Source organism: Homo sapiens, chromosome 3, assembly GCF_000001405.40.
Source record: "Homo sapiens chromosome 3, GRCh38.p14 Primary Assembly".
In the NCBI taxonomy this organism is placed as follows: Eukaryota; Metazoa; Chordata; class Mammalia; order Primates; family Hominidae; genus Homo; species Homo sapiens.
Window position 1 is genome coordinate 45,543,315 of NC_000003.12, and position 12,652 is coordinate 45,555,966.

The 12,652-nt window shown below is 49.6% G+C and overlaps 1 protein-coding gene across 4 annotated transcripts in view, besides 6 other annotated features; it reads left to right on the plus strand.

Annotated features, from left to right (window-relative positions):
- The window catches only part of LARS2 (leucyl-tRNA synthetase 2, mitochondrial), a 160,832-nt gene extending 154,739 nt beyond the window's left edge, over positions 1 to 6,093 (plus strand). For all 4 annotated transcript variants that reach the window (NM_015340.4, XM_017006042.2, NM_001368263.1 and 1 more), the window contains one exon: positions 4,037 to 6,093. In NM_015340.4, coding sequence (NP_056155.1) covers positions 4,037 to 4,216 — 180 coding nt within the window. In that variant the 3' untranslated portion in view covers positions 4,217 to 6,093. The remainder of the gene's footprint in view (positions 1 to 4,036) is intronic.
- Positions 667 to 893: a silencer, noted in NCBI's record as "fragment chr3:45585473-45585699 (GRCh37/hg19 assembly coordinates)". NCBI's record gives its function as "represses an EF-1alpha promoter that drives an FKBP-Casp9 reporter gene in an ReSE screen in K562 erythroleukemia cells {active_cell/tissue: K562}" and the evidence as "EXISTENCE:reporter gene assay evidence [ECO:0000049][PMID:32094911]".
- Positions 1,686 to 1,896: a silencer, noted in NCBI's record as "fragment chr3:45586492-45586702 (GRCh37/hg19 assembly coordinates)". NCBI's record gives its function as "represses an EF-1alpha promoter that drives an FKBP-Casp9 reporter gene in an ReSE screen in K562 erythroleukemia cells {active_cell/tissue: K562}" and the evidence as "EXISTENCE:reporter gene assay evidence [ECO:0000049][PMID:32094911]".
- Positions 2,283 to 2,577: an enhancer, noted in NCBI's record as "tiled region #4333; HepG2 Activating non-DNase unmatched - State 7:EnhWF, and K562 Activating DNase matched - State 5:Enh". NCBI's record gives its function as "activates a minimal TATA promoter and a strong SV40 promoter by Sharpr-MPRA in HepG2 and K562 cells {active_cell/tissue: HepG2 | K562}" and the evidence as "EXISTENCE:reporter gene assay evidence [ECO:0000049][PMID:27701403]".
- Positions 7,909 to 9,108: an enhancer, noted in NCBI's record as "P300/CBP strongly-dependent group 1 enhancer chr3:45592715-45593914 (GRCh37/hg19 assembly coordinates)". NCBI's record gives its function as "activates an origin of replication core promoter dependent on BRD2, BRD4, P300/CBP, MED14 and CDK7 cofactors, with strong dependence on P300/CBP, by STARR-seq in HCT116 cells {active_cell/tissue: HCT116}" and the evidence as "EXISTENCE:reporter gene assay evidence [ECO:0000049][PMID:35650434]".
- Positions 10,161 to 10,260: an enhancer, noted in NCBI's record as "active region_19776". NCBI's record gives its function as "activates an Ori minimal core promoter by ATAC-STARR-seq in GM12878 lymphoblastoid cells {active_cell/tissue: GM12878}" and the evidence as "EXISTENCE:reporter gene assay evidence [ECO:0000049][PMID:35858748]".
- Positions 11,521 to 11,570: an enhancer, noted in NCBI's record as "active region_19777". NCBI's record gives its function as "activates an Ori minimal core promoter by ATAC-STARR-seq in GM12878 lymphoblastoid cells {active_cell/tissue: GM12878}" and the evidence as "EXISTENCE:reporter gene assay evidence [ECO:0000049][PMID:35858748]".

Sequence of the window (12,652 nt, forward strand, 5' to 3'; positions counted from 1 at the left end):
TATTATTATTTAATAGAGACAAGGCCTCACTCTGTTGCCTGGGCTGGTCTCAAGCTCCTGGGCTCAAGCAGTCCTCTTGCCTCAGCCTCCCAAATTGCTGGGATTACAGACATGAGCCACCACACCCAACCCAGAATTTTTTTTTTTTATTTTTTTATTTTTTTTTTTGGTGAGACAGAGTCTCTCTCACTCTGTTGTCCAGGCTGGAGTGCAGTGGCACAATCTTGGCTCACTACAACCTCCACTTACAGCAATTCTCCTGCCTCAGCCTCCCAAGTAGCTGAGATTACAGGCATGTGCTACCATGCCCAGCTAATTTTTGTATTTTTAGTAGAGATGGAGTTTCACCATGTTGGCCAGGCTGGTTTCAAACTCCTGACCTCAAGTGATCTGCCCACCTCAGCCTCCCAAAGTGCTGGGATTACAGGCAGGAGCCACCGCACCCAGCCCCAGCCCAGAAATTTATTTAATTTGAGTAATGTTTATGAGAAATAAATAGCTCATGCATCCCTGAGAACTTGTCCTCAGCCCGGTTGAGAAATGCTAACTTAAGAAAAAGAGAGGGCTTTAGTCTATGAAAATATCTATCTTAAATTACCACTGCAGAAAAGAAATTGAGTTTTGATCGTTGGTAAAAATAATTTTAGATAATCATTGAAATGCAAACCTAAAATGAAAAGCATGTGTAAGACTCCCTGCAGGTACACCCAGCTTGAGAACCCAGGCTGGGTCAGCACCGTGCCAGCAGCAAGGACTTCTGTGAAGGCCTGGGTTCTCGCTCCATGTGATCTCACTTTGTGTCCTGGCCAGAAACAGGCTGCAAGCGCAGTTCGATGTCATTCAGTTCAATTGTGCCCATGTTCTTTGTGCCTGTGACATGCTGGGCTCTGCCCACACCAGGGATACAGAGACAAGAGCTACCGCCTTGTCACCTTGGAACAAAGGTCTGGGGGCACATGAGCTGTCACACACAGTTTATGTAAGGGCTCGGAAGTCAGGCCATCCTGGGTATAAGTCTCAGTTTTACAACATATTTAACACCTCTAAGCCTCAGTTTCCTGAGTTATAAAATGGAGGCACACACAGTGCCTGCCTTATCCGGCTATTGAGAGAATTAGGTAGGATAATGCCAGGAAGTGCTTAGCCTGCTTCTGGATGCACTAATGACAAAATCCTCTTAATACAGAGTGAGCGCCGACCCAGGGCCACGCTCTGCCCTAGAACTTCCCAGGTGTGAGCTTATTTACTAAGCACAGTGGCCCTGTGAGGCAGGCTTGTTGTTATCCCCATTCACAGACAGGCAGATGTGTGACTAACCCTATCTTACAGGCAAGGAAATGGTGGCAGGATGGAGCTAAATAACTCACTGAAGGTCACACAGCTAGTCCAGAATCTACTCTGAATGGTGACTGCTGCTAGCATCAGCGTTGCCACTTCTGGCAGTTGGAGAATCAGAAAATACGTTATGAGGAAAAGGACAGGCAGCTTTGGCTTTGAAAGAGGAGCAGCCTCTCCCCAGTGGAGAGAAGGGTGTCGCAATACCAGGAACAAACATAGGGGGGCAGGCCCACAGAGACCCGGGCTGAGCCAGGGAGGTACTGGAGCAGAGGGCATAGGGCAGTGCTGGAGACAAAGCTAAAGGTAGGGAGTGTCCCCTCCTCAGAGGCCAGACACCCCTCAGAGGACAGGGGGCTACCAGGGTGTGTGAGCAGGAGAGAGAGGGGCTGTGTCAGGTCATCCCGTCTCTTCCACTGCCTGGGGTGGAGCCTAGGTGGACAAGTGACTTCACTTCATGTGCCTCAGCTTCCCTATCTGTAAAATGGGATGGGATATTCATGCATCGACTCACAGGTTCATACAAGTGAATTGCATAGTTCAATGCTTGGCACAGAGTGAGAGCTCAGCAAATGGAAGCTTGTACTGTTATTAGCCATCGCAAGGCTACCCTCATGATGGGGACAGGTGATGGATTCGAGTGGGAGGAACACCTGTGGCCTGGGCCCTGTCCGGCAGGTGTCAGAAAAGTCCAGGAGAGTCATGCTTAGGCCTTCTCCAAAGATGGAGGTGCAAGAGCCCCACAGCATAGCAGCCTCTTTTTGAAGTGATGTCAATGTGCTTCTTCCTCTTTGGGCCCTTGAAGCTCAGGCTCAGTGTTGAGTCCCAACCTGACTTCTCTGCCCATCTCATTGGCGCTTTATGCCAGAGACAGGGGGAGCATGATTGGCACCTACTCACCCTGAAGGGACTGCCTTGGTAAGGCAACTCAGGGGAGGCCTGGGGAGCCAGAACCGTGTGAGGGTGCCCGAGGCAGCAAGGGAAAGACTCAGAGCACGATGGCCACATTCAGAGATCACATGCCCTGCCCCCAAAGCCCCAGCTGTGGACAAGAATGACTCAGGTCCCTTGGACAGGCTGTCACCAGTGATGACTTAGGACCAGCCTGCCCGGCTCCAGCAAAGCACAGGAAGCTCGAAGGTTTAGAAATGGGTCATTGTTGTGCTGAGGCCATGCGTCAAAGAGGACATCCCACAGCCAGCTCCTATCCTGGCCAGCACTCTTGACAAAGGCAGAGGGAGTGCAGCTTAGTGAGCTGGTCCCTTTACACAGGTTATTCACTCCAGAATCTGGAGAATTCTGTCCTTAAGGAAAAAAAAAAAAAAAACTAAGCTCAAGATCCCACAGCTTGTAAGACCAGGCCTAAGAGTCAAACCTGAATCTCCCCACATGAGAGCACCATGCTCCCCCTCACCCAGCACCCCCTCTGTAGGTGGTGGCCCAGAGGAGATGTTGCCCTGGGCTGCTCTTCCATAGGAGGAAAGACATGATTCACTAATAACTGCATGTCCTGAGAATTCCCTGTTGGGGACCCCAGGACTTCACTAGGGGCATGGCTCTTGGGTGACAGTTGGGAGGTCTCTTCCAGGGTCTCAGTCCAGCCAAGCATGTGGCCTTGCAAGAAGGCAGCTTCTAATGGCTCAGAAACACCAGGGCAGGGGGGCCACAGTCCTTCACACCACACACTTAGTTCCCCAGCTTCAGAACGCTTTAAAACGCTGCAGCATGGAGCCTCACGCTTTCAAAACAGTATTTCATAATATGCCAGGACTTTGTGTTTTATTCGTCCTCTCCCTGTGACCTAGGCTAATGCAGACAATAAAAATGCCACCAAGTTCTGCAAAACTGAAAAAATGAAGTGGGTGATTAGGGGACATTTGATAATGTGCTTTGGTTGAAACTTGAGAAATTATTCCTAGTAACTTTTCCTAAGACTGTGACTATATTTTCCAAGTGAAAAATAAGAGCTAGTGAAAGTAATGTGTGTGTAGATTTCGGAGCAATGGGATTGAGGATTTGGAAGCATGACTTCAGAAACTGAGCCACGTGGTCACCTTCCCTCATTGAATCAATATTCGGTGAATACCCACCTGTGTCTGGAACTGTACTGACCCATGTTAAGCGAGAAAGAGTGATTAATGTGACAAGATGTGGCTCCAATTTCTAAGTCCTCACACTAGAGCGCCCCCTTCTGGAGCCAGTCAGCAGAGAGAGAAGTTTGACTGTGTCCCCCTTGAAACCGTCAACTGTTTGGTCCACTTGAGACCTAGGTAAAATCTGAGGGGACAGCTCACTCTAACCTGGATCTGAACTTAAACTTGAGCCCCGATGACAGAATAATCCCTTTCTGCCTGGAAATGGCCCAAGCCATCTCATGCTGAGGCTTTTTGACATAATCTCTACCACAGCTGTGTATGGGAGCAGTGCTCAGAAAATGCAAGGCGGTCCTCACTCCACGTACGGGCACTCACATGCAGTCTCAGTGTCGGTCTCTTTCTGCAGGTCTAGGCATTAATCCTATTCAGCTGGTTGCATTTTACCCTTATGGGAAGCAGAGTGCTGACTTCCTCCTTTCTCCACCTCTATTCCTTTCCCCTAAACAAATGCAGCCATGCCCTTTACAGGCAGGAGGTTTGGTATTGGGCCGCCTGCCACTCTGAGGATGTTCCTCATTGTTTATCTTGGCTTTTCTCCTTCTCAGATCAACAATAAAGCTTGTGGCAAAATTCCTGTGCCCCAACAAGTTGCCCGGGACCAGGACAAAGTCCACGAATTTGTTCTTCAAAGCGAGCTGGGTGTCAGGCTTTTGCAAGGACGAAGCATCAAGAAGTCCTTCCTTTCCCCGAGAACTGCCCTCATCAACTTCCTGGTGCAAGATTGACAGCCAGGAGGCTGCAGCTACCACGAGGGCCTCTGAGGAACCTCCTTCCAGGCCTGGGATGAGGGGGCGATGTCTGCTGGCCCAGGGGAAGGGAAAAGACAAATGTCTTGACTGTTGACCTCGGTCCTGTGGCAGACTGCAGTCAACAGTGTGCCTCTGTAGTGTGGCCTGGTGCTGGGGTGAAGGTGAGCTGGGCAAAGGAGAAATATGAGCTACTGAGGAGGGGGTTGGACATCCTGCCCCTCACCCCCCACCCACACTGCAGGTAGAGGAGGCCATCTGATCCCATGGGAAGCCATCAGAGACACTGCTGGTGGGAGCAGGAAGGAGCAGTGCCCCTCGAGCAGCCAGGAAGCCTGCGGATCTGGGAAATGGCTCTGCCTTAGGCACTTCTCGGGAATTTGAGGCCAGCCTGAGGAACTGCAGGACTCAGGTGCAATGTGCCAGCCACTTGGAACTGCTAACTGAGCCTCCAGATGGTAGTGAATGGTCTCTTTGCCTTCAGGCTGGATGAGGAAGTCATTTAGGAAATGTTCAAATAACCAATATGTGGAAATGGACACAGGGATCTTCTGAAGTTGCTTTGAATCAAAAGGCAGGCAGTGCTGGTTCCTCTGCCTGTGTCCCCACCACTCCCCAGCTCTGTCATGCAGGCCTGTCCTCCCCAACCCCAGCTGGATGTGCCTCCCAGGCCTGCTGTGGTTCTGACACACAGGATCCCAGGCAAGGCACCACTTCCTCACATGAATGAGGAGCAGCAAGTCATAACCACTCCCTTGGGTATACAATTTGCTGTGTAGTGAAGTGGAACCAGGCTCAGGCTGCTGGTCCCAACCTCAGAGCCCCACCGCAGCCCAGTAGGGATGCAGCACGCCCCAGAGGGCTCATGTGGGCCCCAGATGGCAATGCCACCATTGTTGATGTGACTCCAGAGCCAGTTATTAGGAAGAGCAAGCTCACCACAGAGGAGTGGAACTGAGGCCCCCCAGATGTTGCCTCCGGTGTCCAAGCCACAGCGGTCTGGCTGTTGGGAAGATGGCCAGGAATGGACTCATACCATTGGCACATTAGGCTAATCCTGGTTTTATGTGAAGTCAGCAATTAAGTGTTCCCACTAGAACTGACCTAAGCCACTGATTAATATTTAATGAGGGAAGGTAGGGGAGAATCTAGCCATTTTATAATGCCAGAAATCTATATATGTTATCTGATGCCATTTTTCTGAAGTAGCCTCACATGTGGTCCCCCTGCAGTTCAGCAGTTAACAGATGACTTTTTTAGTGTAATAAAATGTTTATCATCTATGACTTCAGGACATATGTGTGATCCTGGAATACACCATATTCCAATTTCAGAGTTAATTACAAACAGATTGAGGTATTCCATCATCATCGGAAGCATTGGCTGTGTGTCTGACTCCACATGGAATGCTATAAAGTGGGATACATGTGGTTCTTCTTGTTCCAGAACTTACAGTCCATGGTAGACAACACTGATACAGGCAAACTAGCAACAGCAATTAAGTCACTGGTTCTCAGACTTAATACTCTGCCTGGTCCTCATGCCCAGATATTCCAATTTAATTGGTCCATGGTGTGGCTTGAACACCAGGAATCTTTAAAACTCCACAAGTGATTCTAATGGGCAGCAAAGTTTGAGAATCACTGGACACATTGATGCACTTGAGCCATCATTTCTATCTAGTTCTTCCTCTTCCTAATCTTCAGGTTAGCGGGGATAAGTTTGGTCCAGGACCAAGAGTTGGACCAAAAGGGAAGACAGGGGCCAGAAGTCTAGAGTGCTAGAGCCGACTTGAATGTACTCAGTCTCATTGCACATGGCAGTGAATATGGATTAAATATAAGCCCATGAAAATATTTGGTACAAGGAAGGAGTGAGTGATTTTGATTATCTTGTTATTTCCTAGTAAGCTAAGTGGTCTTGAACAAGATGAGGGAAGGGAGCCCTTTATTTGCATGTGATCTGACCAGAGCAATGGGCCAGTAAAGCCTCAAGGCTGCTAGACTGACCAGCTGGCTGACACCAGCATGGCTCTGAAGAAATTGCTCCAAGAGGATAAAGCTTTTGCAAACAAGAGCTCATCAGTACATACTAAGAGACAGTATGGGTAATGGAACAACTGGACAGAAAACTCTGACCCCTGGGAGTGAGGTGGTGGGGAATAATCTCAGCCATTTATTGACTGTCTTGTTGAGGTCAGAAACTGGACTCAGCAGGTTCACAATAATTATCTTATTTAATTCCCACAAAAACTCTAGAGGGAAGGAATTATTCTCTCATAAAAGAAGAAACCCAGGCTCTGAGGTTCAATAATTGTCTCAGTTTTCACAGCTAATAAGTAGGAGAACTGGGATCCAAGCCCACATCTTCTGTCCTCCACGTTTGCCTCCCCGCCATGTCTACCAGTCCCCTCACCTAATTGTCCATGTTACTTGGTGTACACAGTCAGGTGAGATGGCTCCCAAAACCACTGGCATTTTGAGCAGAGTGTGGCTGGGGTTTCCCTCCTGGAAAGCCTGTAAACCTGGGAAATCACAGAGGTGGTGTCCTCTCTGCAGGGGCAGTGGTGGGTGAGAGGCCAAGAGCATGTGGTTAGTTCCAGAGAGCTGGGAAAGGTCATCCAGCAAGTGGAAGACGTAGACTCGTGGGCGGGTATCAGGGTTATTTCTATTGGGGCAATAAGAGAACAGAGTTTGTGCCCAGGGAAAGTGGTGCTCCATGGCAAATGCTACCACAATAGGAGCCAGCTGTCTGCCTAAGAAAATTGATCTCTAAGACCCTAAAACAATTAGTAAGCTGGGAAACAGCACAGGCATATTTCATCCCAGCCTAAATGCACACCTTCAGGGGATTGGCTAAGAAAAGCAGGGTACATCCAGTCAATGGAAGGCGAGGCAGCCAGCAACAGATGGTTTTTCAAAAACATGTAGCTTGGAAATTTTCTCATGAATGAAGGAAGATACATGCACAATGCAATCCTGACCATTTTTTTTCAACGCTTACAAAGAAAATTGAGAGCAGGAAATTTGCTTGCATATCATAGGCTGAGACTCCTACAAGTCATTTTTTTCCTTCTGTCTACTTTTTTGCATTTTCTCATTTTTATTGGCCATGAAGTATTTCAGTAATACTTCATGAGGCAAAACATCAAAATGTACAATTTTGTGAAGCTCTAAATGAGCTAAAAACCTGTTTCCCTTGATTTTTCTTTTCTTCTCCCAGGCAGGATATCTAGCTGCCTGTGAGGATGTATCCTAGCTAGGAAAACATGCTCCTTTCCTTGTATGAAGTGGAATCCAAAGAAACAAAAAGCAGCCCCCATGAAGTTCCTGCTCACGGAGTTGCTCAGTCTGGGCAGGTGTGGGGAGCTCCCTTTCTTGTATCTCAGTCTTAGGCTCTTGCAACCTTGCAACAGAAGAACGGAAGGCAACGTTCCCCTAATGGAACTCTCCTGCTCACTTGCTGTCAGATTCAAGGTTGTGGATAAGACCGAAAAAGGAGGCATTATCACCTCCTTTTGCAGATAACGAAACTTGAGACCATGACAGTAAGTGATGATGTATCTTGACCCCCAATCTGTGCTCATTCCACTTAGAGCACCCCCTCCCCGTACTACCATCAGGCAAAGTGTAGTGCAGGAGGTAAACTTTCTTTCTTTCTTTTTTTTTTTTTTTTTCTTTGAGACAGCGTCTCACTTCATCACCCAGGCTGGAGTGCAGCGGTGCAGTCTAAGCTCACTGCAACCTCTGCCTCTGGGGTTCAAGTGATTCTCGTGCCTTAGCCACCTGAGTAGTTGGGATTACAGGCATGGACCACCACACCCAGCTAATTTAGGAGGTAAACTTTCTTAACTGGCGGGCCCAGCTGGACTGTATAAGTCAAGGAAAGGCAGAGGGGTAGATAAAAAGGAGAGTTTTCCCTCGTCTTTCTTCCTGTGAGAAGAGCAAGCAGAAAACAGCTGTTTCGTGGGCTGGGTCCCTGCCTGACACTCAGAGCGTGGGTGGCTAAAGGCTCTCATCCAAGCTGATGAGCTTGGAGAAAGGAATCTAGGGTGACCAACAACGAGCAAGTAGGGAAATCCCCCGAGGGCGGGTGGGTGGTTGGTGATGGTGCTGGTAGGGAGGGGAGAGCCTGGAGCAGCCAGGGAAAGGCCAGTCCTGTAGGCAGAGGCCTCAGATCCAAGGGTGGGCCCAATGACCTCACTCCAGGCCTCCAGTGCCCTCCCTCAGCCTGTCCACATGAGGGGCTGGAGGCAGCTGTGCAGAGATAATGAGGCCCTGGAGGGGAGGTGGTGACCAGGACTGCTGGAACCCAATGCCCCATGACTCATCTCCCTGTGCCTTAAGCCCTGAACTTGAATTTCAGTTCTTATTCAGCCTCTGGAAGAGCACACCTAAGACAGACACCCTGTATACAGGGGCCATGGGCTGCAATCTCCCGACATTACAACAATAATATCTATCATTTCTGAGGACTAATTATGGGCCAGGCCCTGTTCTAAGTGCTTTGCCACATAAGGAGCCTTGCCCAAGACCACACACAAGAAGGTGGCAGAGCCGTGATCCCACTCTGCTCCACCTCGCTGGTTCCCAAAGACCTTTATGCAAACCAGCCCTTGAACCTCCTGAATTTTCCCAGATGGTCCTTATTTATAGCTTTCTCTCCAGTTGTTCCCCAAATGCCCTAGAGCCTGCCAAAACCACACTTCCTCATGTGTATCTGTGAACGTTGGCTCGCTGTGGGCACACACCTGGTTGAATGCATCCCTGAAGTTCTGAGGCACCCAATTCAGCATGTGGGGTCGGCTCTCTCTCAGCCTGGGACTGACGGCTCCCAGGGAGCCATCACCCCTGGCAGACAGAGCCTCCTTTGGACACCATCCCTGGGACCTAGAAGCCAGGAAGCCATCCTTGCTCAACTCCACCTACTGTGAGGAAAATCCCATGGCAGAGGGGAGAGGGGAGACCTGTTCTAGACCTCCCCGATGATAAGCACTCCTTGGCATCTCAGCAGCCCCATCTGTGTCTTCCGCAGATCATCTTTTCCACAAACAATAGAAGAGCCCCATCTGGGATTAATTGAGGAGGGTTCAGCCCTGGTCCCATCCAAGGGAGGCCTCACCTACCACATCTGCTGCTGCATACTCATGGCTGCCTTCAGAACTCAGAGGAGAACTAGATCTTAGGGGAGGGGTTCCCCTTCCTCAGGCACTGTCGCGGGGGTGTAGAAAGGAATAATGTGTCCTTTACACTGTGAGATCCATAGAGGAAGCAGGCACCCAAAGATTGATGCCATTCATTGGGTCTGGTTTGTCAATCATCAAGGCCAGACTGGGCCAGAGGGGCTTTGTCAGGTGGACTCAGAGAGAGACTCACTTGTCAGTGCACAAGAGGGCAGCCACTGCACAGACATAGGCTGAGAGCTGCGAAGAGGGAACCTAAAGCAAGTGTCGCCAGATATCCCCATTATTAGTTATCAGCTAACTCTTAGTTTTCAGTTAACATCATAGTTTCCAGGAAATATTTTAGTTTTCTATTAATATTTTAATTAACTACTAGCATCAGAGTCATCAGCAAATATCTAAGTCATCAGTAAACATCTTAGGTGTCAGTTTCCTCTGAGTGAATGTAGTAGACCTCTTAGTCATCATTTACTTCATTATTACCAGTTATGCACTAATAATTAGTGGTCTGCTAATATCTCGTCTACCAATCATCTTCAGCAATAAACATGCTTTAATTATCAGCTGATAATTAATGTAGCCATAACAAATAAACCCCCAAATGTCAGTGGTCTGACCCAGCAAACTTTATTTCTCTTTCCCATGAGTCTAATCCTCTAGAGAAGGGAACAGGGGAGGAGGTTCTGTTCCGTTCAGTTCCAGCTTGACGGAGGGTTCGTGCAGACTACACAGTCTTCAGCTCTTGGCTTTCATGGTTGCCCCTGACATCAAATCCAGCCCGCAGATAAGGGGGAGAGAGGTGGAGTGTCACAGTGGCTTTGGCCAGGTCTGGAAACAGTGTACATCACTTCTGCCCACTTCCTCTTGGCCAGAATTCAGTCACGTGCCTCAGCCAATTGCTAGGGGCTGGGTAGCCACTTCCCAGCAGCAACTCTGCAGGAGGGAAGGGGGGCCTGATCTTGGAGGGCAGCTGGCTGCCTCTGCCACATGGACAATCTTTGTTTTCGAATTGTTGCTTGTCAGTGTACACCTAAGTTACCTTCTAAGTATCTCAGGTGTCTGCTAACCACCTTGTTTTGCAGCTACTCCTGAGTCACAGCTGTTTGGCTTCTAAATCTGTGACAGCTGCTGTGAGTCTAAAATAGCAGAGCAATCACAGACTCTTGTTGCCTGCCAAACTGGGATGGTGCCTGCCCCTTGCTCGAGACTTTGCATGGAGATGTGTGAAGTCACGGACGTGCTTTGTGCCATTTTATAAAATACCGGGTTTACTCCGAGGGTTTGTTTATTGGTCCCCAATTCTCCCCACCTTCCTTCTTCTGTGAGGCTAACACATTGGTTTGTGAGACAGTTTGGAGTATTTTGTTTTAGGGGGTGTCAGGACATTTTGAAAGGTAGAGAAAGTCAGGCTTCCCAGATGCCCTGCAGGAAACCTGGGAAATTCTCCAGATTCCTGCTCCTAAAAGGTCATGGCTGCTCATTCAGGGTGGAAATGTGACACTTCCCCAGAAGCCTCACTGTGCTCTGGTCTAGGAGACTCACACCTCACCCCAACACACACACACACCCCACCCCACCCCCCCCACACACTACATACACCATACACCACCTACACCACACCACACACATGCACACGTATACACCACATACCACACATTCATACACACCACACAGCTGAGGGCCTGCTTTGGGGGAAGGTAATTTATTTTTGCCTGACAGAAGAACGTGCCTCACACCATGTGGCTGTGGAGGTGGAGAGGGCAACGTAGTCTTGAGAGTTCATCAGAGTCACAGCTGTTAGGGAAGTGCCTGGGCCTGGGGCCAAGGTGGACAGTGAAACAGGAAGGCTGCCCCCATTTCCACATGTGCTCACATGGGGCTCCCCCACCTGAGGCCTCCAACTACAGGTGCACCCCTCCCCTGACAGCACCCACCTCTGGTGGGAGTCTTCTGTATGATTAATAAAAAGCGTAGTAATAATAATCATATGTAATGGCCATGGTATATTGAGTGTTACTTTTTTTTTTTTTTTAGACAAGGTCTCACTCTGTCACCCAGGCTGGAGTACAGTGTCATGACACTGCAGCCTCAACTTGCCAGGCTCAAGTCATCCTCCTGCCTCAGCCTCCCTAATAGCTGGGACCGTAGGCATGCACAAGCACACCCAGCTAATTTTTTTTGATTGTTTGTACAGACAGGGACCTACTCCCTTTGTGCCACAGATTGAGCTTGACAGATGGCCCAGAGGGTGAGGGGGCTTTCAGGAACTTGTCTGGGCTCTATTGTTTATGAACCATGAGATCTTTGCAGGCTCCTTAACCTTTCTGTGCCTCTGTTTCCTCCTCTGTGAAATGGAGAGAATGGCTCCAACCTCTGCCTTGTGAGGGTGCACTGAAGCAATGTGTGTGTAACAGGCTCCGGACAGCGCAGGGCGCACAGTGAGTGCACTACTCTTCGGTCATCCAGCACTCTTAGGAGGACGTGTTTCATCCCATGGAATCCTCACCAGCCATGTGTGAGGAGTGCTCACTTTACAGATGAGGAAACAGGCTTGGCAATATCAGGTAACCTGCCTGAGGCCACCTGGCCTCCCTTCTGCTCCGGCAGAAGCCCCACCCTGGCCTGGGTAAGCCTGGGAGCCAGTGCCACATCCTGATGGGGATGTGGACAGGGAACAGGCAGCCTCTCCGCCCTCCAGTGCCCTGAGGAGCAGCCTCCAGAGGAAGAGGAGTTGCCAGTCTCCCTGGCCTGCCAGGAAAAGGTGAGTCCTGAGGCAGTCCTGTGGGGTGCATTGGCTATCCAGGGAGGGAGAGAGGAGGAGGTCAGAGGCCTGGTCTTGATTCTCATGGGCTTCCCTTCCTGCAGCCCTTCCTTTTCCTTTGGCCACTCATGACTGCGGGTTCCAGCCTGGGCAACATAGTCAGACCCCATCTCTACAAAAATTTAAAAATTAGCCAGGTGTGGTGTGCACACCCGTGTCCCCAGCTACTCAGGAAGTTGAGGTGAGAGGATCACTTGATCCCAGGAGGTGAAGGCTGTAGTGAGCTAAGATCACGCCACTGCATTCCAGCCTGGGTGACAGAGCGAGACCCTATCTCAATAAAAATTTTAAAGACTACTGAGTGACCACAGGTGGGGTGGGTGTTCCCTGGGGGCTGCAGCGGAGATCAGGCTCAATCGAGGTCCATGCTGGGACCCGTGAGAGGTAGTGACAAACAAGGGCCTCCCAGAGG